The 27325-nt window shown below is 44.4% G+C and overlaps 1 protein-coding gene and 1 pseudogene across 2 annotated transcripts, besides 2 other annotated features; one reads left to right on the top strand and one right to left on the bottom strand.

Moving 5' to 3' along the window:
* Window positions 1446–1755: a silencer, noted in NCBI's record as "silent region_4252". NCBI's record gives its function as "represses an Ori minimal core promoter by ATAC-STARR-seq in GM12878 lymphoblastoid cells {active_cell/tissue: GM12878}" and the evidence as "EXISTENCE:reporter gene assay evidence [ECO:0000049][PMID:35858748]".
* MANSC1 (MANSC domain containing 1) lies at window positions 1756–25942 on the top strand. 2 transcript variants are annotated; one of them, NM_001363613.2, is made up of 5 exons: window positions 1756–1920; window positions 8584–8722; window positions 8825–8906; window positions 13438–13578; window positions 21040–25942. In NM_001363613.2, exons 2-5 carry the CDS (start codon window positions 8684–8686, stop codon window positions 21969–21971), a joined length of 1194 nt encoding a protein of 397 aa, NP_001350542.1. In that variant the 5' UTR covers window positions 1756–1920; window positions 8584–8683; the 3' UTR covers window positions 21972–25942. The 2 variants fall into 2 exon arrangements, with proteins under 2 accessions (NP_001350542.1, NP_060520.2); NM_018050.4 differs by having other exon boundaries at window positions 8584–8906.
* Window positions 12744–13222, bottom strand: RPL23AP66 (ribosomal protein L23a pseudogene 66; annotated as a pseudogene).
* Window positions 26191–26691: an enhancer, noted in NCBI's record as "H3K27ac hESC enhancer chr12:12478241-12478741 (GRCh37/hg19 assembly coordinates)". NCBI's record gives its function as "activates a minimal SCP1, AML or CMV promoter by ChIP-STARR-seq in primed H9 embryonic stem cells {active_cell/tissue: H9 hESC(primed)}" and the evidence as "EXISTENCE:reporter gene assay evidence [ECO:0000049][PMID:30033119]".

The raw sequence follows: 27325 nt of genomic DNA, 5'->3' as shown, positions 1-27325 counted from the left end.
AAATATTTCTTTAATCATTATTTTAATCAATATCCTTTGTTCACTGTCATAACTGAAAAAATAACATATCACTTCAATGAAAACAGGTTCAGGCCGGGCACAGTGGCTCACGCCTGTAATCCTAGCACTTTGGGACGCCGAGGCGGGCGGATTGCCTGAGCTCAGGAGTTCGAGACCAGCCTGGGCAACACGGTGAAACCCCATCTCTACTAAAATAGAAAAAAATTAGCTGGGCGTGGCGGCATGTGCCTGTAGTCCCAGCTACTCAGGAGTCTGAGGCAAAAGAATTGCTATAACCCGGGAGGTGGAGGTTGCAGTGAGCCGAGATCACACCACTGCACTCCAGCCTGGGCAACACAGCGAGACTCCGTCTCTAAAAACAAACAAAACACAAAACAAAACAAAAAAAGAAACAGGTTCATTGTATTAAAGCACCGAATACGAAGTTTCTAATAATGGAAAGGTCTACTTTGTAACTAGCATGGATTACCCCATGTAGAGAGATTCAAAAACTGTGATAGCTCTACACCCTGAACCCTGAAGTGTATCAGATGATAAAAGATAAAACACACTTGCAGATCAGTCCCTTGTTGCATCAGGAAAATCACTGCAATGGGAAATTACTCTGGTGTTTACTTTTCTTTGGTAACTCTTTCAAACCTAGCTTTAGCAACATTGTAATTCAAGAGTCATCCTTTGGTTACAAGTAGAGTTAGTTTCACACAATGGACCTTTGTTCACAAGCATTCTCAGTCAACCTAATCCTCCTGTAGTTATTGGTTAAGACTAGGGTGTGTAGCTGTTGGCCGTACAGGCCTAGACTTAACTTGCAATTGCATAGCGCTTCAGGTCTGCAAGCTCTTTCAAAACAGAGGTGAAGATACTGTCAAAGGTTAGACCATATGGCAAACTAAGTGTCAATGGTTTAGTAACGTTGCATTTGTGTGTGTGTTTATGGAGGTGGGGATGGGGCCAGCAGTAATTTAGAAACTTCCACAACCTATGCCCTATGCAGTTCTTTTCCATTCATTCAGTCAACAAAAATATTTTAGTTAAATATTTACTGAGCACCTATTGTGTACCAGGCACTATGCTAAGTGTTAGGGATACAGTTTTAATATATGTTACAGACACCAGCATTTTCACCATTATTATCCTATCTACAAACAATAAATCCCGCAGAAAGCCAAATACCTTCCCTGAAGTTTGTCTTGCAGATAATATTTAACTCAAGAATTGCCATCTTTAATTGAGGACTCCATCCTCCAATTATGGAAAGAGGATTCTCAGAACTATGCCCCCAATAGGATGCACTATAAGCCCTTGAACATCAAAAAACTGCTCTCAGTGGTTGCCTCTGAGGAGGGAGACTAGGAGACTGGGGCACGGGGGTGAGGGGTAGACTTGTCTCTGTGTCTATTTTTGTACTGTTTGACATTTTCCCCATGTGCATTTATTTTAACTTGCGCGGGCCGCGAGGCAAGGCTCACCTGCAGACCCTCGGGCCACCAGCAGGGAGGCACGCACTCCCCCTCGCAGCGCGCCCAGCCCGGGGTCAGCGGTGTGGCTGAGCTGGGGGGGAGCGCGGGGCGGTGGGGGGAGCCACCTCCCTGCGGGGCTCAGCGCTGGGGCCGGGAGCCCGGAGCCTCCGCGGGGAGGGACGCGCTAATGTTGCCGGGAAGCAGCTCCGGGTTGCAGGGCAGGAACGTGCCCTTCCCCCGCGGCAAACTTGCCGTCGCTGCGACGGAAGCAGGAACTTGCTAACCACAAAACCCGCCAGGCCGGTGCGGGAGCTGCGGAGCATCCGCTGCGGTCCTCGCCGAGACCCCCGCGCGGATTCGCCGGTCCTTCCCGCGGGCGCGACAGAGCTGTCCTCGCACCTGGATGGCAGCAGGGGCGCCGGGGTCCTCTCGACGCCAGGTAAAGGGGTCTCCCCAATACCCACCCCCGACCGGCCGCAGGCGACGTCGCTACCTGCGGAGAGAGTCGGTCCCCTCCTTTCCAGGGGCCGAGGCTCCTTCACCCACACCCGAGCATCCAAAGGACCAGCTGGGGCCAATAAGGGCTGACCAGGATCCTTGAGTCGCTGCAGTATTCCAAAGGGGACCTCTAGGCGGGCTCAAGGCACCTGCCATAAATGGCTCTGGCTCTGCGTTGACATCAGAAGGAGAGGCAGAAGAATAGCTCAGTAGGCAACATGCATTTCCTCAAAGGAAGAGAAAATGTTCCCTGTTTTCTTGTCGTTGACTCTGTATTCATTATTGAAACTGCTAATTGTCTAATTCTCTGTAGAGTGTGTGTGTGTATACAGTTATAAGCATCTTGGTAAATTATAGTGTGCTGTAAGACGATTTCCAATATTTGAACTAATTACGTGCGAGTAAGTTTTAGCGACTCTTGTATGCAGACGTTAAAACTCAGGGGCATCCTCTCTCACCCGCCTGTATCCTTTTACCCCGTCTTTCAACAAGATTCAACTCGACTTCAGGCCCTTAAAGCCTAAATAATAATGGATTAGAAAACGTCGCTAACCTAATATTGCTGAGCCTCTTTAATGATATAAAACTCTTAAACACTTCTCTCAATGCTGCATACTGAAAACAACTCCTGCCCCATCTCCTTACATAGTTCAGGTTTCTTTGCAAAAGCTTGAAAAGAGGCTACATTAGAATCCATTCAAAATAAAGTATTGGCCTGGTTTTCTCTTGATTCCCTAGAGGCTTGCAAAATATGGCAGCGTATTAAGTACCTTGGCCAGAATTATTAACCTGGGGAGTCCACGATAAGGTATCCATGGATAGAATTCAGGATGTCTGTGAACTTGAGTGGAAAAAATTATTATTTCACCGACTTCTGAAATGGAATGTAGGCAAAAGCCACAGTAGTATTAGCAGTAGCTATGATTTGCCCCCTGTAAATATTGCCGATATCTTTATATCACATGACTTGTTGCACGTTTCAAAATATTATCTATACTCAATACCACGTCAAAATTATGGCAGTTATTAGATGACCACTTGTTACTTAATAGGTTAATAAAGAAGCACATATTATGTCCCACAACTTTTTGTAAGTTTTAACTAAAATGAGGATAATAATGGGATCTGTAAAGATTAAATGACATGATATATATAAAGTGCTTAGCATAGAAACTGGCATTTTAGACGCAATAAATGTTACTATTTTACTGTATACAGAATTTTGACAAACAGCAAGAAAAGTATTAGACTTGTGTTTTATTACCATATACTGGTTTGTTTCTGGGTTTTTTTTTTTTTTTGGTTTTACCTTTTTTTAAAACTAAAAGTCCATAGTTCACATAATGTTCACTCTGTGTGTTTTACATTTCTATGGGTTTTGACAGATGTTCAATAACATGTATCCTCCATTACAGTGTTATACAGAATAGTCTCAATGCCCCAAATATCCCTTGCACTCCACCGATTCATCCTCCCACTCCTGTTCTCCTGGTGACCACTGGCCTTCTTACTGCCGCTGTAGTTTGCCTTTTTTAGAACGTCATACAGTTAGATTCATATCTGTTCAGACTGGCTTCTTTGACTTAGGAATATGCAGTTAAGATTCCTCCATGTCTTTTTGTGGCTTGATAGTTCATTTATTTTTATTACTGAGTAATATTCCAATGTATGGATGTATCTCATTTTGTTTATTCATCTATTGATGGGCATCTTGGTTGCTTTTAGTTTTTGGCAATTATGAATAAAGCTACTACAAATATTCTATTGCAGATTTTTGTGTGGACATAAGTTTTCAATTCATTTGAGTGAATACATAGGAGGACAATTGCTGAATTGTATGGTAAGGCTGCATTTAGCTTGGTAAGAAACTGCCAAACTTCTCCCAAAGTGGCTGTACCATTTTGCATTCCCCAACAGCAATGAATGAGAATTTTTCCTTTTTTTTTTTTCTTTTTTGAGATAGGGTCTCACTCTGTTGCCCAGGCTGGAGTGCAGTGGCATGATCTCGGCTCACTGCAACCTCCACGTCCCGGGTTCAAGCGATTCTTCTGCCTCAGCCTCCCAAGTAGCTGGGATTACAGGCACCTGCCACCATATCTGGCTAATTTTTGTATTTTTTTTTAGTAGAGATGGGGTTTCACCATGTTGGTCAGGCTGATCTCAAACTCCTGACCTCAAGTGATCTGCCCACCTTGGCCTCCCAAAGTGCTGGGATTACAGATGTGAGCCACCGCGCCCAGGCGAGAATTTCTGTTGCTCCATGTCCTTGTATTTGGTATTGTCCATTTTTTGGATTTTAGCCATTCTCATAGGTGGGTAGTGGTATCTTGTTTGAATTTGCAATCCCCTAATGACATATGATGTTAGATACCTTTTCATATGCTTATTTGTCATCTGTATATCTTCTTTGATAAGGTGTCTGCTCAGATCTTCTGTCCATTGAGTTTCTTTTCTTATTGCTGACTTGAGTTCTTTGTATATTTTGGATACCAGTCCTTTATCACAGGGTTCCCCAACCCCTGGGCCGCAGACCAGTACCTATTAGGAAATGGGCCACACAGCAGGAGGTGAGCAGTGGGCCAGAGAGCAAAGCTTCCTCTGTATTTACATTATGCATTACTGCCTGAGCTCCACCTCCTGTCAGATCAGTGGTGGCCGTAGATTCTCATCGGCGCACGAACCCTGTTGTGAACTGCACATGTGAGGGATCTAGGCTGCACACTCCTTATGAGAATCTAATGCCTGATGATCTGTCACTGTCTCCCATCACCCCCAGATGGTACTGTCTAGTTGCAGGAAGACAAGCTCAGGGCTCCCACTGATTCTACATTATGTTGAGTTGTATAATTATGTCGTTATATATTATAATGTAATAATAGAAATAAAGTGCACAATAAATACAATGCACTTGAATCATCCTGAACCATACCCCCACAACGCCGTCCATGGAAAAATTGTCTTCCATGAAACTGGTCCCTGGTGCGAGAAAGGCTATGGACTGCTGCTTTATCAGATGTGTGTTTCACAAATATTTCCTCCAAAAAAAAAAAAACCACCTCAAATATTTCCTCCAAGTCTGTGGTTTATCTTTTCATTCTCTTTAACGGTATCTTTTGTAGAGCAGAAGTTTTTAAATTTAATGAAGTCCAACATCAAATTTTTCTTTCATGGAGTGTGCTTTTGGTATTGTATTTAAAAACTCATCACCTAATCTAAGGTCACAAGGATTTTCTTCTGTTATTTTCTAGAAATTTTATGGTTTTATATTTTACATTTAGGTCTGTGATCCATTTAGAGCTAAATTTTGTGAAAGGTGTAAAGTATGTGGCTAGATTTATTTATTTATTCATTTTTGCAAATGGATATCCAGTTGTTCCAGTACCATTTTTGGAAAAGACTGTCCTTTCTCCATTGAATCCCCTTTGCTCCTTTGTCAAAGATCAGTTGACTCTCTTTGTGAGGGTCTATTTCTGGGTTTACTATTCCATTCCATTGATCTGTTTGTCTATTCTTTTTCTAATACCATACTTTTTTGATTATTGTAGCTTTACGGTAAGTGTTGAAGTCAGGTAGTATCAGTCTTCCAACTTTGTTCTTTAGTATTCTGGACTGTTCTTGGTCTTTTCTGCATTTCCATGTAAATTTTAAAATCAGTTGGTTGATATCCAAAAAATAACTTTGGGCTTTTGATTAAGACTGTATTTAATCTGTAGCTCAAGTTGGGAAGCACTGATACCTTTTTTTTTTTGAGACGGAGTCTCGCTCTGTCGCCCAGGCTGCAGTGCAGTGGCGCAATCTCGGCTTGCTGCAAGCTCCGCCTGGGGTTCATGCCATTCTCCTGCCTCAGCCTCCCGAGTAGCTGGGACTACAGGCGGCCGCCACCACGCCCAGCTAACTTTTTGTATTTTTAGTAGAGACGGGGTTTCACCGTGTTAGCCAGGATGGTTGTGATCTCCTGACCTCATGATCTGCCTGCCTCGGCCTCCCAAAGTGCTGGGATTACAGGCTTGAGCCATGGCGCCTGGCCAGGAAGCACTGATATGTTAACAAAATAAAGTCTTCCTATCCATGAACATGTTATATCTCTCTATTTATTAGCTCCTCTTTGATTTCTTTCACCAGGATTTTGTAGGGACATTCTAAAATCTATTTTGGTAATTATATTTCACTATAACTGGCTTCCTTTGGAATCCTACATATTCCATTTTATGCATTTTTAAATATGTCTCACAAAAGAGATCCTGAGCTTCCTCAGACTATCAAAGGGGTTAATAAACAAAGGTTAAAGAAGTAGTAATTCTGCTCTAAGCTATCATTCAGCAAACAATTTGTATTCAACAAAATGTTTAATGAAATGTTAAAAGGAAATGTGGAGGTTGATAGGTGAGGATAATTTCTTGTATTGTCTTGCCAGTTTAACATTTATTTTTCCTAAAAGAACCAGCATCTCAATAGAGTTGGCATTATACATAGTGTGACTTTTGTATTTTTAAGGCTGTCAAAAAGAAAACCTGCCCCTAAACTTTCCTTTAACTGAGGCAGCGTATTCCTCCTGCTGACTGGCTAATTTCTAGAATTAGATTATTAGAGTTTTCTAACTCTGATTTGATACTTCTTAAGGAGAAGCAGCAATAGGAAAGACTATCTCAGTTTCTTCATTATAAAATGAGGAAAATAATAGCTTTTTTTTTTTTTTTTGAGACGGAGTTTTGCTCTTGTCACCCAGGCTGGAGTGCAGTGGTGCAATCGTGGCTTGCTGCAACCTCCACTTCCCGGGTTCAAGTGATTCTCCTGCCTCAACCTCCCGAGTAGCTGGGATTACAGCTGCCCGCCATCACACCCAACTAATTTTTGTATTTTTAATAGAGATGGGGTTTCACCACATTGGCCAGGCTGGTGTCGAACTCCTGACCTCAGGTGATCCGCCCACGTGACTTGACCTCCCAAAGTGCTGGGATTACAGGCATGAGCCACCGCACCCGGCCAATAATAGCTTTTTTGCAAGGTTGTTGTATTAGTCAGGGTTCTCTAGAAGGACAGAACTAGTGTAATATATATATATATATATATATATATATATATATATATATATATATATATATGGGAGTTTATTAAGTATTAACTCACATGATCACAAGGCCCCACAATAGGCCATCTGCAGGCTGAGGAGCAAGGAGTTTCAAAACTGAAGAACTTGGAGTCTGATGTTTGAAGGCAGGAAGCATCCAGCTCAAGAGAAAGATATAGGCTGGGGCTGGGCGTGGTGGCTCACACCTGTAATCCCAGCACTTTGGGAGGCCGAGGCAGGCGGATCATGGTCAGGAGATCGAGATCATCCTGGCCAACACAGTGAAACCCCGTCTCTACTAAAAATACAAAAAACCAGCCGGGCGTGGTGGCATGCGTCTGTAGTCCCAGCTACTCGGAAGGCTGAGGCAGGGGAATCACTCGAACCCAAGAGGTGGAGGTTACAGTGAGCCGAGATTGTGCCACTGCACTCCAGCCTGGCGACAGCAATACTCTGTCTCAAAAAAAAAAAAAAAGATATAGGCTGGGAGGCCAGGCCAGTCTCTCTTTTTCGCATTTTCTGCCTGCTTATATTCTAACTGCACTGGCAGCAGATTTGGTTGTGCCCACCCAGATTCAGGGTGGGTCTGCCTTTCCCAGCCCACTGACTCAAATGTTAATCTCCTTTGGCAACATGCTCACAGACACACCCGGAATCAATACTTTGTATCCTTTAATCAAATCAAGTTGACACTCAGTATTAGCCATTACAGTTGGTATAAAGATTAAAGATGGTAATAAATTAAAGAGAATAACAATTCAAAAGAGTGGTAAATTCCTTAGCACAATGTCTACCATCTAGTATATTGTCACCTATTTTTACTTTTTAAGTTTTTTTTGAGACATGGTCTCGCTTTGTCACCCAGGCTGGAGTGCAGTGGTGTAATCACGGCTCACTGCAGCCTCAACTTCCTGGGCTCCAGCGATCCTCCCACCTCAGCCTCCCAAGTCGCTGGGACCACAGGCATGCGCCACCACACCCAGCTAATTTTTTGTATTTTTAGTAGAGACAGGGTTTCACCATGTTGCCCAGGCTGGTTTTGAACTCCTGAGCTCAAGCAATCCACCCACCTCAGCCTTCCAAAGTGCTGAGATTACAGGCATGAGCTACCACGCCTAGCCCCTAGTAGATGATTTTAAAATGCTGATTGTTATTACTGAGAAAGGAAATATGCTCAAACCTATTACTACTGCTTCATCAGTGACTAGAAATGTGTGCCCTCTCCGCTCTGAGTTAGAAGAGGGAAGGATTGTAGAATTCCGAGGCAGGCCTACTGTTTATACCTGTTCCTTCATAAGCATTGTCAGCTTTTAAGCATTGGTGAGGTAGTATGTTTGTTTATGCTTATTAGTTCTTTGCCAAATGTTTAATGAAAAGTTGTCTTAAATTTACTAAAAGTGAAACAAAAAATACGTGTATCTTTTCTTCTCTAAATTGTATGTGGATCCTTTTCATTGACTTTAAGGAAATGAAATGTTTCTTCCCTTGTTTGTTAAAGAAACAAAACTCATTGATGATTTTCCATTTTTGTTCTAGAGAGAAATCTCATCATCTGTGCAGCCTTCTTAAAGCAAACTAAGACCAGAGGGAGGATTATCCTTGACCTTTGAAGACCAAAACTAAACTGAAATTTAAAATGTTCTTCGGGGGAGAAGGGAGCTTGACTTACACTTTGGTAATAATTTGCTTCCTGACACTAAGGCTGTCTGCTAGTCAGAATTGCCTCAAAAAGAGTCTAGAAGATGTTGTCATTGACATCCAGTCATCTCTTTCTAAGGGAATCAGAGGCAATGAGCCCGTATATACTTCAACTCAAGAAGACTGCATTAATTCTTGCTGTTCAACAAAAAACATATCAGGTAAATAGTGGTTTCTTGGCAATCCTTTGTTCCATGTGTTTTGTGGCTTCAGGAGCTGGGGGATGTGGCTGAATAACTTATACCAGTGATTCTCGACAGGGTATGAATATAAGTGACAAAATCACTGGAGAATTTTCTACAAGTGTGCCCTCCCCTCTCCTAAGCTGAGTCAAAGTTATTGATGAATGTATGTATATATCCCTCAGGTGACTGGGTAGACAAGAGGTTGAGAATCACTGGTGTTATATCCCAACTGGTATCTAGAATATTGAAAACAAAAATCCTATTGAAATGGTTAGCTGCCATCAGCATGGAGTATTGGAATACAGTGTGATATTACAAAGAAAATGTAAACAGAGAAAAGGGGTTGAGACAAAAAATAGAATTCTTATCTCTTGGGAAAATCAGCATTTGATCTTTAAGTTGGAAGCATAAAACCTCCACTTCGTCTCCTTCCTTGGAGCTGGTGGCATAGGATAAGTCAAAAAAAAAAAAAAAAAAAAAAAACAAAAAAACACTGACTACTAGGTAACTACAGCTTCTAGAACTCTAATGGGATGGGGAATCAATTAGTCTGGCCCATTTTCATGACACAGGAGGAAACTGAGACCCATAGGTTTGAACCAGGACTTGCATATTTTAGGATTTAAGTATTTGTACTGAAAAGAGAAGTATACTGTGTATTTTAGTAAAACCTTTTTTCAATTTTACTTATGACCCTGTCCGAGTTCTCTAAATGAAAAAAACTAAATTTCTTGAGTACTTAACACTTTGTTAGTTGCCAGAGAGAAAACAGTGAATAAGATGGACAAGGCCTTGCCATCAAGTTGCCTAGAAAAGCTAGTGAATGGCCGGGTGTGGTGAATCATTCCTGTAATCCCAGAACTTTGAGAGGCCAAGGCAGGAGGATTGCTTGAGCCCAGGAGTTTGAGAGCAGCCTGGGCAACATAGCAAGACCCTGTTCTCTGTAAAAAGTAAAAAATCAGCCAGGCGTGCTGGTGCACGCATGTAGTCCCAGCTATTGGGAGGCTGAGGTGGGAGGATCACTTGATCCTAGGGGGTTGAGGCTGCAGTGGACTTTTTTGTTTGTTTGTCTGTGATGATGTCTCACTCTGTTGCCCAGGCCGGACGGAGCGCAGTGGCGCAATCTTGGCTCACTGCATTCTCTGCCTCCCAGGTTCAAGTGATTCTCCTGCCTCAGCCTCCCGGGTAGCTGAGATTACAGGTGTTCGCCACCACATCCAGCTAATTTTTACTATTTTCAATAGAGACGTGGTTTCACCATGTTGGTCAGGCTAGTCTTGAACTCCTGACTTCAAATGATCCTCCCACCTTGGCCTCCCAAAGTGCTGGCCTCCCAAAGTGTGTGAGCCACCGCACCCAGCCTACAGTGAGCTTTGATCGAACCACTGCACTCCAGCCTGGGTGACAAAGCAAGACCTTGTCTCAAAAGATACATATTTGATCTTTGTCTCCAGTTCCTGGCACAGAACTCCTAAAAACCTTGGAATTTCCCAAGAGATGGGAGCATGTCTTTGGTTATTCATAACCAGCCCCTTTCAACTATACTTGAGTTTGTGCTAGTGAGGCTTCACCTCAGGGGAGGGACTGGAGATTGAGTTCAGTCACAGTGGCCCATGACTTAATCAATCATGCTTGTGTAAAATGAGACCATCATAAAAACCCCTAGATGATCGGGAAGCATCCAAGTTGGTGAACACATCCCAGTGTCAAGAGAATTATGCACCTCAGTTCCCCAGGGACAAAGTCTCCTGCACTTGGGACTCTAGGAGCCTCTTTTGGCTGTTCATTTGTATCCCTTATTATAAACTGTAATAGTAAATACAGCATTTTCCTTAGTTCTATTAGTTGTTCTTGCAAATTATCAAATCTGAGGGGGTAGGATCATGGGAATCCCTGAATTAGCAGTAGCCGAGTCAGGCAGAAGTGTGGGTGACCTGGAGACCTGATACTTGCTACTGGCTTCTGAAATGAGGGCAGTCTTGTGATACCGAGCCCATAATCCATGGAATCTGATGCCAGCTCTGGATAGTTGGTGTCAGAATTGAACTCAATAGTAGGATATGTGGTTATTGCTGCAAAATGGTGTGGAGAAGACACCGTATACTTGGGGTCAGGAGGAAAAATCCCTTCGATGGTCTCATTGAGCAGTGTGCTTTGGGACACTTTATGCAAGTAATTTATGGAAATGACAGAGGTTTAATTTAAATTTCTAGTTTTTCTTTAAATGTTGACATCAACATGTATGTGAAATAGAAACATCACCTGCAAGCAGGACTGAATACTGTAAGTGTGGTATTTACAGGCATCAGCAAAGCCCTGCTCCTCAATTCTAAGAAACGAGGGTTTGCTGTTTTATTCTAGAAGCCAAAGTCCTATTACTGCTTTGCTACAAGCAGAGGTACTTGGAACCTCAGTTAATGGATCTCAAACATTTTCCTCACTTCCTGAGAAATGGTTTAACCACCGAGGGTTCAAAAGGCACTATGATAACTCGATGATACTCTAGAAAAATGCACATAACACGATGGGCACAATATCTTGCATACAATTTTGAGCTTATGGACCCTCCCCTTTACCTAAGTGCTAAAAAGAAAGGTATTTCTGGTATCACATTGTTGAGAAAGGAAAAGCAGGAGTACTCCTGTTATTATCTGAGTAATGGGGATATGACGTGATAAAACTCCTGCAGAGGCTAACTAAATCTTCCTTCCCATCTCGGGAGTTGGAGTTGATCTCTCACCATTGCCTGACTAGCACCAGTGGTGGTGATGGTCGACAGAGCGTATGTTTTTAACAATTAGCCTATGTGTCTCTTAACCTTCAGCCTGACCAGGGATACGCTGACCTCCCAAAGATGTGAGACTGTACCAAATGGAGGACAAAATCAAATCTAGGCCATGATGAATAGAGGGTTTAATTTCTGTTGGACACAAGAGGAACAGAAAAAGAAGCCAGCAGCTGGGTGCATTAGCTCATGCCTGTAATCCCAGTACTTTGGGAGGTTGAGGGGGATGGATTGCTTGAGCCCAAGAGTTCAAGATCAGCCTAGGCAACATAGTGAGACCCCGCCTCTACAAAAAACAAAAAATTAGCCAGGCATGGTGGTGCACGCTTGAAGTCCCAGCTACTGGGGAGGCTGAGGTGGGAGGATTGTTTGAGCCCAGGAGGTCAAGGCTGAAGTGAGCCATGATTGTTCCACTGCACTGCAGCTTGGATGACAGAGCAAGACCCTGACTCAAAAAAGAAAAGAAAAGAGACCAGAAATTATAGTTAACAGTGAAAAGTAAGGAAGGAAGGAACATAGAAAAGCAAATATGACAAGGAGAGAGGGGTAATTGGAAGAAAAACACAAAGAATGGTACAGATAAAAATTAAAAGATAGACTGTATTCCATATACTACTCAGATCCTGTGTGGAAGGAGCCATGATATCTATGATAATTTACTGACTCCACTCATGGCTTTATTAGGCATCTGAGATGCTTTCAGAATCCAAGAGATGGCCAGGTGCAGTGGCTTACACCTGTAATCCCAGCACTTTCAGAGGCCAACTAGGGCAAACAGCTTGAGCCCAGGAGTTCAAGACTAGCCTGGGCAATATAGAGAGACTCCATCTCTACAAAAAATACCAAAAAAAATCCGAGTGTGGTGGCTTGCATCTGTAGTCCCAGTTACTCGGGAGGCTGAAGTGGGAGGATCTCTTGAACCTGGGAGGTGGAGGTTGCAGTGAGCTGAAATCATGCCACTGCATTTGCACTTCAGCTTGAGCGACAGAGCAAGACATTATCTCAAAAAATAAAAAATAAAAAAAATAAATAATCCCAGTTTTGTAGGCAACATGCAAAGCATTGTGGGCAGGGGCCAGCAGAGCGCATGCCTCTTTCTCTCCATCAGGCCTGCTCAGGGTGTAACCTTGGCCACATCAGTGTCAGAGAGCCTCTTCACAGCCTCTTTGGTGCTTGCCGGCCCTGGCATCCACAGTGAACACCAGTGTGTGGTTGTCTTCTATCTTCATAGCACATCAGTAGTCAGGGCTTGATGATGGCAGAGTGGTCAAACATGTGGGAGCACTCTTCCCGGGATACTCGGGCTGCCTCTGGAGCCACAGTGTCTTGAGCTGCTGGAGGTAAGTGACATGCAGGTCTTAGGGGTGTGTGTGTGTGTGTGTGTGTGTGTGTTTGTGTGTGTGTGGTTGTGGATGCCTTTCAGCCCTGCCTTCTTGGCCTTTAAAGACTTTGCTTTGGCTTTGACTTTAGGAGGGACAGGAGCTTCCTTCTTCGCCTTCGGTGCCACCTTGTGAAAAAAAAAAAGCTAAACCCAATGTTTTTTAAAATTGCCTTAAGCAACTAAGCTAAGGAAAAGGAAATGATTCAGCGGTCAGCAAGCAAGTGAACAAAATGAACAAAGGTGTTTGTGTTGGACTCCATAATAAGTGAAGTTTTTCCTACTTGCCCTACTCTTTAGAAAATCGCATTTCAAAATCATGCTTATGAAACCTTTCATTGCAGGGGACAAAGCATGTAACTTGATGATCTTCGACACTCGAAAAACAGCTAGACAACCCAACTGCTACCTATTTTTCTGTCCCAACGAGGAAGCCTGTCCATTGAAACCAGCAAAAGGACTTATGAGTTACAGGATAATTACAGGTAATGAAAGCATTATACTTTTTCTTTTGTGATTGGAATAATTTAAGACTGGTTCATGTGAAAGATTTTCTACAAGAGTCTAAATAAAACTACCAGAAGGGGTACCAGACATATCAGAAAATCTCATGACTGGAAATTCAATTTATTAAACCAAAATTTGATTTCCAATGAAAGCCATGGTAGTATTTGTTCTGGTTTGTTTCTGTTTTTACCTTCATGAGATAAAAGACACACAAACCTTGTATGAAACGTTTTTGAAGCACCTCTTTAGAACAAGGTCGGCAACACTGGAATAAGTATACAGGTCTCCAGGGTGATTGTTTTGAAAGGGTGAAGACTTGTGTTAATATAGAAAGTTCTAGTATATTTGTTATTAAGTTCCCATTATAATCACATTATCTGAAATCAAACTTTTTATGGCCATACCACCCTGAACGCACCCAATCTCGTCTGAAATCAAACTCACTGGATTTTATTGTCTAGACTGGAAAGGAAATTCATTCAAGAAATATTTATTAAACATTTACCATGTGCCAGATTCTGTCCAAAGCACTAGAACTACAATCTCCATGTTCATGGAACTTACATATTAATTCAGAATGGAAAATAAATAGCAAAAAAATTAATATAATTCCTGGGATATGTTTTGCTGAGACTTTGGCTTGTTAATTTTTCAAGTTGAAGTGGTTTCAGTATCAATTTTTCTTTTTTTTGAGATTATCCATATAAAAAAGGTGAAAACAAATTAATGTTGCTTAGGTAATTCTGTGGACCCTTCATAGACAGTATTTGCATAAAATCAGAATTACAGAATTTAGTGGGGTTTGTTGTTGTTGTTGCTTGTTTGTTTGCTTTTTCCGAGATGGAGTCTCACTCTGTTGCCCAGGATGGAGTGCAGTGGTGCGATCTCGGCTCACTGCAAGCTCCGCCTCCCGGGTTCAGGCCATTCTCCCGCCTCAGCCTCCTGAGTAACTGGGACTACAGGTGCCCGCCACCACGCCCGGCTAATTTTGTTTTTGTACTTTTAGTAGAGATGGGGTTTCACCGTGTTAGCCAGGATGGTCTCAATCTCCTGACCTCGTGATCCGCCTGCCTTGGCCTCCCAAAGTGCTGGGATTACAGGCATGAGTGTTGTTGTTTTTTGAGAGAGAGTCTCACTCTGTCGCCCAGGCTGGAGTGCAGTGGTGCGATCTCAGCTCACTGCAACCACCACCTCCTGGCTTCAAGCAATTCTCATGCCTCAGCCTCCCAAGTAGCTGGGGTTACAGGCACCCACTACCATGCCCAGCTATTTTTTTTTTTTTGTATTTTTAGTAGAGATGGGGTTTCACCATGTGGGCCAGGCTGGTCTCACCTCCTGACCTCAGGTGATCCACCCTCCTTAGCCTCCCAAAGTGCTGGGATTACAGGCGTGAGCCACTACACCCAGCTTCAATTTTTCTTTTATTTAAGTTTTAGAAAGTTATCATCATACTCTTGATTTTTAATATTCTACTTGTTCATTTGTTCAATAAATAACAAATATTATTTAGCATCTCCTATGTGCCAAGTACTTTCTATGCCCTAAGGAAACAACACTAAACATGAAAAACAAGGTTCTGGCCATGTGGTAGCTCATGCCTATAATTCCAGCACTCTGGGAGGTGGGAGGATCACTTGAGCCCAGAAGTTAGAGACCAGCCTGGGCAACATGATGAGACCTCATATCCACAAAAAATTAAAAAAATTAGCCGGGCATGGTGGCATGAGCTTGTAGTCCCAGCTACTTGGGAGGCCAAGGCAGGAGAATTCCTTGAGACCAGGAGGTCAAAGCTGCAGTGAGCTGTGTTCATGCCACTACACTCTAGCCTGGGTGACAAAGTGAGATACTATCTCTAAAAAAAAAATAGGAAAACAAGGTTCTCCCTTCTGGAACTTATGTTTTAGGGGAGAGAGACAATAACCATAATAAATAAATAATCAAGAAAAATATAGTCACAAGTGCTATGCACAGAATTGAGACAGGACGGTATAATAGACAATCAGTAAGTAAAGTTGTAACCCCTAAACTGAGATCTGAATAGTGAGGAGCCAGATGTGAGGAGATCAGGGGAAGACCTTCCAAGTCCAAGGTCCTCAGGCAGAATGCTTTGGAGTGTTTGAAAAACCAACACTCCAATCCCAGCTGGTTGACTCATTGTGAAATACGCAGAGAGTGATATGCAAAACGGTGGGGAGGGCCAGATCACATAACACCTTGTAAGTCATAGGAGGGAGTTTTTTTGTTTGTTGTTGTTGTTTTTGAGACAGAGTCTCACTCTGTTGCCCAGGGTGGAGTGCAGTGGCGCGATCTCAGCTCACTGCAACCTCCGCCTTAGGAGGGGCATATGCCACTACACGTGGCTAATTTTTGTATTTTTAGTAGAGATAGGGTTTCACCACATTGGCCAGGCTGGTCTCGAACTCCTGATGTCGGGTAATCCACCCACCTCGGCCTCTCAAAGTGCTGGGATTACAGGCATGAGCCTCCGTGCCCGGCCGGGAGTTTTTAGGTGTGTGGTGGGAAGCTGTTGGGAGTTTTATTTTTATTTTTTTTTTGAGATGGAGTCTCACTCTTTTCACCCAGGCTGGAGTTCAGTGATGCAGTGTCGGTTCAGTGCCACCTCTGCCTCCCAAGTTCAAGTGATTCTCCTGCCTCAGCCTCCTGAGTAGCTGGGACTACAGGCAAGCATCACCATGCCTGGCTAATTTTTGTATTTTTAGTAGACATGGTCTCGCCATGTTGGCCAGGCTGGTCTCAAATTCCTGACCTCCTGACTCATGTATGTAATCCCAGCACTTTGGGAGGCTGAGGCGGGCAGATCACAACGTCAGGAATTCGAGACCAGCCTGGCCAACATGGTGAAACCCCGTCTCTACTAAAAATACAAAAATTAGCCGGGTGTGCTGGTGCGTGCCTGTAATCCCAGCTACTCAGGAGGCTGAGGCGGGAGAATTGCTTGAACCCAGGAGGCAGAGGTTGCAGTGAGCTGAGATTGCGCCACTGCACTCTAGCCTGCACGACAGAGCAAGACTCTGTCTCGGGGAGAAGAAAAAAAAAAGGTGATTTCTCAAAGCTCACCGTAGCCGCCCTCTTGGGAATGGACAGTGACACAGCAGCAAAGTGGAAATGGAAAGACTGGTTAGGAGGCGCAGGTGAGATCTGGGTGAAGAAACAGGGAGTGGCGGGCGAGATGGAGAGAGTAGTGGACATATGGGCTATTCCGAAGTAGAGTTGACAGGACTTGCTGGTGGTGTGGGTCTGGGGAACCAGAAAAAAAGAACCATCAAGGCCAAGTCCTAGTTTTTGCCTTGAGCATCCAGATGAATGGTGACACCATTTGCTGCACTGGGGGAAACTTGAGTAGTTTTAGGGTTGTGGAATGGAATCTAGGTGGAGTGGAATCTAGGGTTCTCTCTTGACTGCATTAAGTATGAGGGGCTTCGGGGAATGATACTGCCCAGGGTGCCTGCGTGTTGACACTGCTTTGCCCCCTAGCTGAGGCTGTGTCTGAGTTTTGTTCATGTGCCAGGGAAGCCTGATGGGTCAAACATCCTCTCAAACAGGAGCGTGAAGCACAGAGTATTGTGTAAATAATTGTTGTTAGGATACGATGATAGAAATTACAGCTGAATTTGTTTTCTAATACTTCTGGAGTGTTGTTACTTTTGTAATGCACATATAAAAGAGCATGTATGGGATGAAGTTCCTTGCCAATGGGAACGGAAAAAAGGGAACTTGGCATGTGCATAAATCTTTTTAGGGCGAGTGTGAAGGTAATGAAGTGAAATTAGAATTAAACTGTTCTTGTGGCAGCCACCAGGGGGCGTTGCCGGCCCCTGAGCAGGTTGATGGACACCTAGGGGCAACGTGGCACCAACCCCGGACATAGTATGCAAAGGACTGTTTATATCTACAGGATGTGTGCAAGTTGTGTTTGTAATTCTGTGTATGAATCTGTCCATGTTGATGAATTCATATTACCCCATTAAAAATGAATTATCTGCCTCCTGCCTGGAGTGAAATTAAATACAGATTATCTGTTTGGTGGTTTGTTTCTGGAAGAACTCTATTTCTTTTTCTTTTCTGTCTCTCTCTCTCTTTTTTTTTTTCTTTTTTTTTAAGGCAGCATCTCACTCTGTTGCCCAGGCTGCAGTGCAGTGGCGCGATCATGGCTCACTGCAGCGGCGCGATCATGGCTCACTGCAGCCTCCACCTCCTGAGCTCAAGCAGTCCTCTCCATTCAGCCTCCCAAGTATTTGGGACTACAGATAATGCACCACCATGCCAGGCTAATTTTTTAAAATGTTTTGTAGCAATGGGGGGGTCTCAGTATGTTGCCCAGGCTGGTCTCAAACTCCTGGCCTCAAGCAATCATCCTGCCTCGGCCTCTCAAAGTGCTGGGATTACAGGCATGAGCCACCGTGCCCAGCCTCTATTTCCTATATCCCATTGACTAATATTTACGGACCAAGAGTTTGAAAGATGACAGTGGATTCTGTTCATTCTCTAAAGCCATTGCAGTTTGGTATTTAATCTTTTATTGTTGTTGTTGGCAGCTTCATGGCATGTCATTTTTACCAAGGACTGGAAGAATAGGAGAATTCAGACATAGAATAAATTGGGAGTCTGTTTGCTCAGCTGGGGTCCCAGTAATAGTCAGTCTCTCATTTTTCAACTCAGTGAAGTCGTTTGAAAATAAAACTCCAAAGAGGAGTTAAGGGCGCTGAGCTGCTTTGCAGCTCCCTTTGTGGCTCATCTCTGCGTGACTGAGAGGAAGCACCATGCCCCAATGGCAAACATGAGTGGGTGAGGCGAATGGAGCAGGTGTGGAGGATCCCTTTGTGGTTCTAGGACCTCTGCCAACAGAGGAATCTTATCAAGAAGTGGGACTGGCCCTAGCTTTGCTTTATTTATGAGCTTGCATGCTTGAGAAAGAAAACAGCTGTTTTGGCCATTCTTGTCAATGGCCATATTTAAGTTCTGATTTCACACACATCACAGAGTGTTTACTTAAACAGTCTTTTTCTTTTTTAACTTTAAAATGAATTATAGGCCAAGTATGATGGCTCACACCTGTAATTCCAGCACTTTGGGAGGCTGAGGTGGGCGGATTGCTTGATTCCAGGAGTTCAAGACCAGCCTGGGCAACATGGCAAAATTCTGTCTCTACAAAAAATACAAAAATTAGCTGGGCATGGTGGCATGGCATTGTGGCCCCAGCTGCTCAAGAGGCTGAGGTGGGAGGATTGCTTGAACCCAGGAGGTTGAGGCTGCAGTGAGCTGTGTTTGTGCCACTGCACTCCAGCCTGGGTGACAGAGCAAGACCCTGTCTCAAAAATATATATATATATATTTTCAAATATATTTCATTTGACCCAAATTCTACTTTAGAGTAGAATACTATATCCTAGAGCAGATGTCCACCAACTTTTTCTGCCAAGGGCCAAATAGTATTTTAGGCTTTTCACACCAGTACTTTAGGTTTTGAAATACAGAAATTTGAATTTTGTATACCTTTCCTGTGTCACACAATTTTCTTTTGATTATTTTTCAGCCATTAAAAGAAATATAAAAACTGGCCAGGCATGGTGGCTCACCTCTATAATCCCAGCACTTTGGGAGACCGAAGGGGGTGGATCACCTGAGGTCAGGAGTTTGAAACCAGCTTGGCCAACATGGTGAAACCTCACCTCTACTAAAAATAGAACAATCACCCAGGTGTGGTGGCACGCGCCTGTAATCCCAGCTACTCAGGAGGCAGAGGTAGGAGAATCGCCTGAATCTGGAAGGCAGAGGTTGCAGTGAGTCGAGATCATACCACTGCACTCCAGCCTGGGCGACAGAGTGAGACTCTGTCTCAAAACAAATAAAAATTTTAAAAAACGTAAAAACCATTCTTAGCTTGCAAGTCATACAAAGACAGATGGCAGGCCAGATTTGTCCATCAGGCCGTAGTTTGCTGAGCCCTGTCCTAGATGGACGAATAAGTGACAGAGTGACAGTGCAAAGAACCTCTCAGAGGGGTAAGGCTTAGAGAGTAGTCACGAGATGGCATGAATCCGTAGCTGCCTCTGGATCCGTCTGTAGGAAAGAGGAGACTGAGGACCAGTTTGGAAACTGGCATGGAGGTGAATTGAGGAAGAAAAAGGAAAAGAGAGCAGGAGTGAGTGGACTGAGAAATGCCAGGACATTCCTCTGCTTCTTTCCTTGTGTTTTCTGCAGTTCTAATGTGAGATGGTTAGCCTAGCAGCAGAGTGATACATGGCAATTCACCTGGTCATTCCCTGCACTTGATTGCTTGAACAGGTCTTTCCAGTTTGAGCTGTGATAAATGGGGTGTGTGATCAGGAGAAAAATTCTAAGCTTCATGGAGCAGGAGCAGGATCTGGGGCTGGTTTCTCCTCAGCAGGCATCGGGACTGTATGGTTTTTCTGCCCTCTGTGTCTACAGTGTGGTCATCATGATTTCAAATATTGGTCCCATCATCCTCATGACCTATGACATTGGCTCCAAAATTCTAATCTTTGAGAGTCCAAATGAAATCTCCCAGATAGCCTCCCTCCTCTGCGCACAGTGCTGGAACGATATATCTCTGGTTTTTTGTTGTCGTTGTTGCTGTTCTGCTGCTGCTGTGGCCTCAGTGCTCAGAGCGGAGACCAGACCCTGCCTGGCCCCTCCTCCTCCTCCCTGTCAGAGACACACCACAGGGATTCTGCTCCCTCTCTCCTGCTCTATTGCCTCATTTCCCACAGCTTCCACATACCTTTCTTGCCTGCCTCATGCCCCCACTGAAATCTCTCCTGATGATTACTTGCTCCCCATTTGTCATCTCAGTCTTAGGTGGCATGTCTTGCAGAAGCCCACACCTTCCCCCGCATTCTCCCTGCCAACCTTTCCTGCTCAGGTCACCCTCCGGCCCACTTTTTTCCCTGGCCTTGGCCCCTTAGGAAGACGGAGAACCCTTTCCATCTTTGTAAGCCTCTTGCTGCCCTGCTGAGCCCCTCCGGCTTCTCTGCTGTGCACCTCCCACCTTTTCCTTAATTTGCCTGGTCCTCCTCCACACATTTCTCTTCTCTTCTGTCCTATCATGCTAGAAATAAACCACAGCATCTGGTAGAGAGGCGGCGTTATCAGATTCTCATTTAGCAATTTGTGTTTTTCCATTTTGCACACATTTCAATGAAATGTCAAGTATCAACAGTTTGGAGATTTTTTTGTTTAAGAGACAGGATCTCCCTATGTTGTCCAGGCTGGTCTCCAACTCCTGGCCTCAAACCATCCTCCTGCCTTAGCCTCCCAAAGTGCTGGGATTATAGGCGTGAGCCACCATGGCCAACCAGTTTAGGGATCTTTTGAACAAGCTGATATGTTTGTATTTTTTTAACCTACCGTAGCATGGAGTTACATAAGCCTTCCTTTTATTTTCCATACATTTTCAGATTTTCCATCTTTGACCAGAAATTTGCCAAGCCAAGAGTTACCCCAGGAAGATTCTCTCTTACATGGCCAATTTTCACAAGCAGTCACTCCCCTAGCCCATCATCACACAGATTATTCAAAGCCCACCGATATCTCATGGAGAGACACACTTTCTCAGAAGTTTGGATCCTCAGATCACTTGGAGAAACTATTTAAGATGGATGAAGCAAGTGCCCAGCTCCTTGCTTATAAGGAAAAAGGCCATTCTCAGAGTTCACAATTTTCCTCTGATCAAGAAATAGCTCATCTGCTGCCTGAAAATGTGAGTGCGCTCCCAGCTACGGTGGCAGTTGCTTCTCCACATACCACCTCGGCTACTCCAAAGCCCGCCACCCTTCTACCCACCAATGCTTCAGTGACACCTTCTGGGACTTCCCAGCCACAGCTGGCCACCACAGCTCCACCTGTAACCACTGTCACTTCTCAGCCTCCCACGACCCTCATTTCTACAGTTTTTACACGGGCTGCGGCTACACTCCAAGCAATGGCTACAACAGCAGTTCTGACTACCACCTTTCAGGCACCTACGGACTCGAAAGGCAGCTTAGAAACCATACCGTTTACAGAAATCTCCAACCTAACTTTGAACACAGGGAATGTGTATAACCCTACTGCACTTTCTATGTCAAATGTGGAGTCTTCCACTATGAATAAAACTGCTTCCTGGGAAGGTAGGGAGGCCAGTCCAGGCAGTTCCTCCCAGGGCAGTGTTCCAGAAAATCAGTACGGCCTTCCATTTGAAAAATGGCTTCTTATCGGGTCCCTGCTCTTTGGTGTCCTGTTCCTGGTGATAGGCCTCGTCCTCCTGGGTAGAATCCTCTCGGAATCACTCCGCAGGAAACGTTACTCAAGACTGGATTATTTGATCAATGGGATCTATGTGGACATCTAAGGATGGAACTCGGTGTCTCTTAATTCATTTAGTAACCAGAAGCCCAAATGCAATGAGTTTCTGCTGACTTGCTAGTCTTAGCAGGAGGTTGTATTTTGAAGACAGGAAAATGCCCCCTTCTGCTTTCCTTTTTTTTTTTTGGAGACAGAGTCTTGCTTTGTTGCCCAGGCTGGAGTGCAGTAGCACGATCTCGGCTCTCACCGCAACCTCCGTCTCCTGGGTTCAAGCGATTCTCCTGCCTCAGCCTCCTAAGTATCTGGGATTACAGGCATGTGCCACCACACCTGGGTGATTTTTGTATTTTTAGTAGAGACGGGGTTTCACCATGTTGGTCAGGCTGGTCTCAAACTCCTGACCTAGTGATCCACCCTCCTCGGCCTCCCAAAGTGCTGGGATTACAGGCATGAGCCACCACAGCTGGCCCCCTTCTGTTTTATGTTTGGTTTTTGAGAAGGAATGAAGTGGGAACCAAATTAGGTAATTTTGGGTAATCTGTCTCTAAAATATTAGCTAAAAACAAAGCTCTATGTAAAGTAATAAAGTATAATTGCCATATAAATTTCAAAATTCAACTGGCTTTTATGCAAAGAAACAGGTTAGGACATCTAGGTTCCAATTCATTCACATTCTTGGTTCCAGATAAAATCAACTGTTTATATCAATTTCTAATGGATTTGCTTTTCTTTTTATATGGATTCCTTTAAAACTTATTCCAGATGTAGTTCCTTCCAATTAAATATTTGAATAAATCTTTTGTTACTCAGTAGTGTTCTCATAAGTAGCATGTCCAGCTGGATAACTTTCCATTTATTTCCACTAGCAAAATGATTATGTGGTGAAAATATGCGTTCCACGTTAAAATGACAACCCCCCCTTTTTCCCATCAGTGAGCAAAGAGCTTCACTTGGGAGAATCTAGCGGAATGTTAGCCCACATGGAGACAATGATAAGTCAGTTCTGATAAATGGCCATATCCACTTGGGATCTGTTCTAGTTAACTTGTGTGTGTGTGTGTGTGTGTGTGTGTGTGTGTGTGTGTGTGACAGAGTCTTGCTCTGTCACCCAGGCTAGAGTGCAGTGGCGCGATCTCGGCTCACTGCCAGCTCCGCCTCCTGGGTTCCCGCCATTCTCCTGCCTCAGCCTCCCAAGTAGCTGGGACTACAGGCGCCCGCCAACACGCCCAGCTAATTTTTTATATTTTTAGTAAAGACGGGGTTTCACTGTGTTAGTCAGGATGGTCTCGATCTCCTGACCTTGTGATCCGCCCGCCTCGGCCTCCCAAAGTGCTGGGATTACAGGCGTGAGCCACCGTGCCCGGCCTCTAGTTAACTTTTTAAAGAAGTATTATAGACATTTTCTAAACTTGTACTAAGTTAAAAATGTACCACTATTATTTTATATCCTTACTTAAATTGACCAGCAATCAGTCTAAGCTTAATTTAGAACAACATTGGAAATAATAACTAGCACAGGCCAGGCGCGGTGGCTCACGCCTGTAATCCCAGCACTTTGGGAGGCCGAGATGGGCAAATCACGAGGTCAGGAGATCGAGACCATCCTGGCTAACACGGTGAAACCCCGCCTCTACTAAAAATACAAAAAATTAGCCGGGCGTGGTGGCGGGCGCCTGTAGTTCCAGCTACTTGGGAGGCTGAGGCAGGAGAGTAGTTTGAATCCAGGAGGCGGAGGTTGCGGTGAGCCAGATTGCACCATTGCGCTCCAGCCTGGGCAACAGAGCCAGACTCCGTCTCAAAAATAATAATAATAATAACTAGCACTAACATGATGCTACAATTTTTACTGGTTACCAATTAAAATTTCTGAGAAAGGCTTTTAATAAAGTTTTCCAGACAAGTTATAGGTGAGGTAACAAAGAGTCCAGAAGTCCCCTGGGTCAGTTTGATACCTCTTTCCTCTGGACTTCAATTTGCTTATCTGCAAAACAGGAAATTTGATCCCTTCCAAGTGTCACCAGAGTTTTTAAAGATAAAAATGGAATTCAGATGCGAACTTAATACAGTGAGCACTAGAGGGCAGTAGCTGGTTAATAAGTACAGCAATTAAGACAAATGCAGGAAATGACAGAAAAGGCTTTTCTTCTCCTTCCTCCTCACCTCTTCCTTCCTCCTCACCTCCTTCCCCTCTGCTCTTCTGGTACCCCTCCCCCATTTCCCTGGTTTACACTAAGTTCATAAAGTACATTAAGAGGAAAGCTGGTCTATTGAAAATACTACTTTTCTTATATTTTCCAACTTAACAGCTTGACACAAATCTCCAAGGGGTTTACATAAGCTTTAAGTAGGCTGAATAAATAAAACCTTGAGTCAATTTAACTTAACAAGTATTTATTGAATATCCACATGTAGGCCAGAATCAGATTAGTAACCAGGTGCCTTGGAATTTTAAAATTTCTCCTCTCTTTATTAATGGATTTAGCGAGTGGAAATCAGGCTTTCTGTGATGGTTTATAAAGGTATTTTCCTGGCTCTCTTGGAGTTCTCTGTCCACCTTGCTGCAGTCTTTGTTGTGATGGGGAGACCACATGGGAGCGGTCCAGATGAGTGATGCTACGGGCCCAAACTGTTAGTGGCCGTGAGGATATAGGTTGTAGGGGACATCTGGAGTGGAAAGAGTGCTCTTCTCACACAGCTCTCTCTACTTACTGCCCCTAGGATGGTGGGTGCAACTGTGGCAAGGGCAGTCAGGGTAGGGGAATCCCTTAGAGGAATTCAGCAGTGACTAGTCTGGTTAGCCTTTCCCACAAGGCCCATTGAGTTATGAGCCCCCTCCTTTGGTTTGTAGAAAGAGAAGGTAGCAGCCTAGAACAGGTGAGAAGATGAGGTAGGTCCTTCTGCTCAAACATCCTCTCTCCGTATTTTACCAACACGATACTGACCTAGGTTAAAAAGCTACTCTTGGCCAGGCGTGGTGGCTCACGCCTGTAATCCCAGCACTTTGGGAGTCCAAGGTGGGTGGATCACCTGAGGTCAGGAGTTCTAGACCAGCCTGGCCAACATGGTGAAACCCCATCTCTACAGAAATACAAAAATTAGCCAGGCATGGTGGCAGACACCTGTAATCCCAGCTACTTGGGAGGCTGAGGTAGGATAATTGCTTGAGGCCGGGAGGGGGCGGTTGCAGTGAGCCAAGATCGCTCCATTGCACTCCAGCCTAGGCGACAGAGCAAGACTCTATCTCAAAAAAATAAAATAAAATAAAATAAAAATAAGCTACTCTTAGCCAGGCACATAGTGGCTCACATCTGTAATCTCAGCCCTTTGGGAGACTGAGGTGGGAGGATCACTTGAGCCCAGGAGGTCGAGGCTGCAGTGAGCCATGATCACGCCACTGCACTCCAGCCTGGGCGACAGAACGAGAGCCCATCTCAAAAAAAAAAACAAAACAACAACAACAAAAAAAAAACTAAAAAACTCTTAAAAAACCTGAGGACTCCTGGATGAATACTGTTATGTGCCTGTTTCTCAATTACCCCTGGCCTGAGTGAGGAACTTTTGGAACTCTTTGGCTCCCAGACTGTGGTGGGCACTACCGGTCAGCTGCCCAGCAGCCAGCCCTAGTCCCACTTCTGCCTCATTTGTTACAGGTTGGAAGTGCCAGGTTCAGGGATGGGCCTGTGACCCAAGTTTTAGCTGAAAGGAAACCTACTAGGGACTTCTAGGAGAGATTTTCTTGCTTGTAAAGGGAAGGCTGCACAAGGAGAAAAGCCCTTTCTAACCACATCCCCTTATTTCATGCTTGGGATGCTGACCATGTGAAGACTTGGTTGTTGGAGCTGTGGTGGCCTCCCTGCCATGATGAGGGGAGAAGGCACTGCCACACTGAGCGTGGCAGTGGGTACAGGAAGAGTCCAGTCTCCGGGATGCCTTGGTTAATTGACAGGACAAACCCTGGAACTGCCAACTTCCATCTTGTTCTGTAATAATAAATCTCTAATATTTGTACCACTTTCAGTCGAGTATTCTATGATTTATTACTTATTGATAGCAAACACTTAGAAAGTACTTACACTATGGGCCGGGCACAGTGGCTCACGCCTGTAATCCCAGCACTTTGGGAGGCCGAGGCGGGTGGATCACCTGAGGTCAGGAGTTCGAAACCAGCCTGGCCAACATGACGAAACCCCATCTCTACTAAAAATACAAAAATTAGCTGGGCGTGGCGGGGGCAGAGTTTGTAGTGAGCCAAGATTGCACCCCTGCACTCCAGCCTGAGCGACAGAGCAAGACTCCACAAAAGAAAGTACTTACACTATGCGCCAGATTCACTTTTACATATACTAACTCATTTCAATTCCACAACAACCTTTTGAATAATTTTAATCCTTATTCTGTAGATAAGGAAACTGAGACACAGCGAAGTTTAAGGGCCTTTCCAGAGGTCACTTGCCCAGATAGCCTGGCTCCGGAGTTGCCACTTTTTACATTCTTATAACTGGAATGATACACGGTGTAACCAAAAAGAGGTTTGCACTAGATTGGAAATGTTCTAGAAAGCTTTTTGTTGTTGTTTTTGTTGTTGTTGTTTGAGACAATTTTGCTTTGTCACCCAGGCTGGAGTGTAGTGGCGCAAACACAGCTTACTGCAGCCTCCAACTCTCGGGCTCAAGTAATCCTCCTGCCTCAGCCCCCCAAGTAGCTGGGACTACAGGCATGTGCCACCACGCCCAGCTAATTTTTGTATTTTTGTAGATACAGGGTTTTGCCATGTTGGCCAGGCTGGTCTCAAACCCCTGGACTCAAGCAATCTGCCCATTTCAGCCTTCTGAAGTGCTGGGATTACAGGCATGAGCCACCATGCCTGGCCCTAAATAGCTTTTATTTTTATTTATTTATTTAGAGACAGAGTTTTCTCTTGTCGCCCAGGCTGGAGTGCAATGGCATGATCTTGGCTCATTGCAACCTCTGCTCCTGGGTTCAAGCGATTCTCCTGCCTCAGCCTCCTGAGTAGCTGGGATTATGGGTGTGCACTACCATGGCCAGCTAATTTTGTATTTTTAGTAAAGGAGATGGGGTTTCACCATGTTGGCCAGGCTGGTCTTGAACTCCAGACCTCAGGTGATCTGCCCGCCTCAGCCTCCCAAAGTGTCGAGATTACAGGCATAAGCCTGCCCCTAGATAGCTTTTTATTTTGGTTTTTAGACGGCATCTTGCTCTGTCACCCAGGCTGGAGTGCAGTGGCACGATCTCAGCTCACTGCAACCTCTGCCTCCCGGGTTCAAGCAATTCTCCTGCCTCAGACTCCCAAGTAGCTGGGATTACAGGCACCCACCACCACACCCAGCTAATTTTTTAATTTTTTTGTAGAGATGGGGTTTCACCATGTTGGCCAGGCTG

The sequence above is a fragment of the Homo sapiens genome, chromosome 12, assembly GCF_000001405.40.
Source record: "Homo sapiens chromosome 12, GRCh38.p14 Primary Assembly".
Classification (NCBI taxonomy): domain Eukaryota; kingdom Metazoa; phylum Chordata; class Mammalia; order Primates; family Hominidae; genus Homo; species Homo sapiens.
The sequence above is the reverse complement of the archived record's forward strand: the minus strand, read 5'-3'. Positions and strand labels throughout refer to the sequence as shown.

Bases quoted from the DNA above. Each gene is read 5' to 3' on its own strand.
- MANSC1 (NM_018050.4), top strand. From the start codon at position 8,684: ATGTTCTTCGGGGGAGAAGGGAGCTTGACTTACACTTTGGTAATAATT. The intron at 8,907-13,437 runs GTAAATAGTGGT...CTTTCATTGCAG, and splicing joins TTCAACAAAAAACATATCAG to GGGACAAAGCATGTAACTTG. The intron at 13,579-21,039 runs GTAATGAAAGCA...ATACATTTTCAG, and splicing joins GAGTTACAGGATAATTACAG to ATTTTCCATCTTTGACCAGA.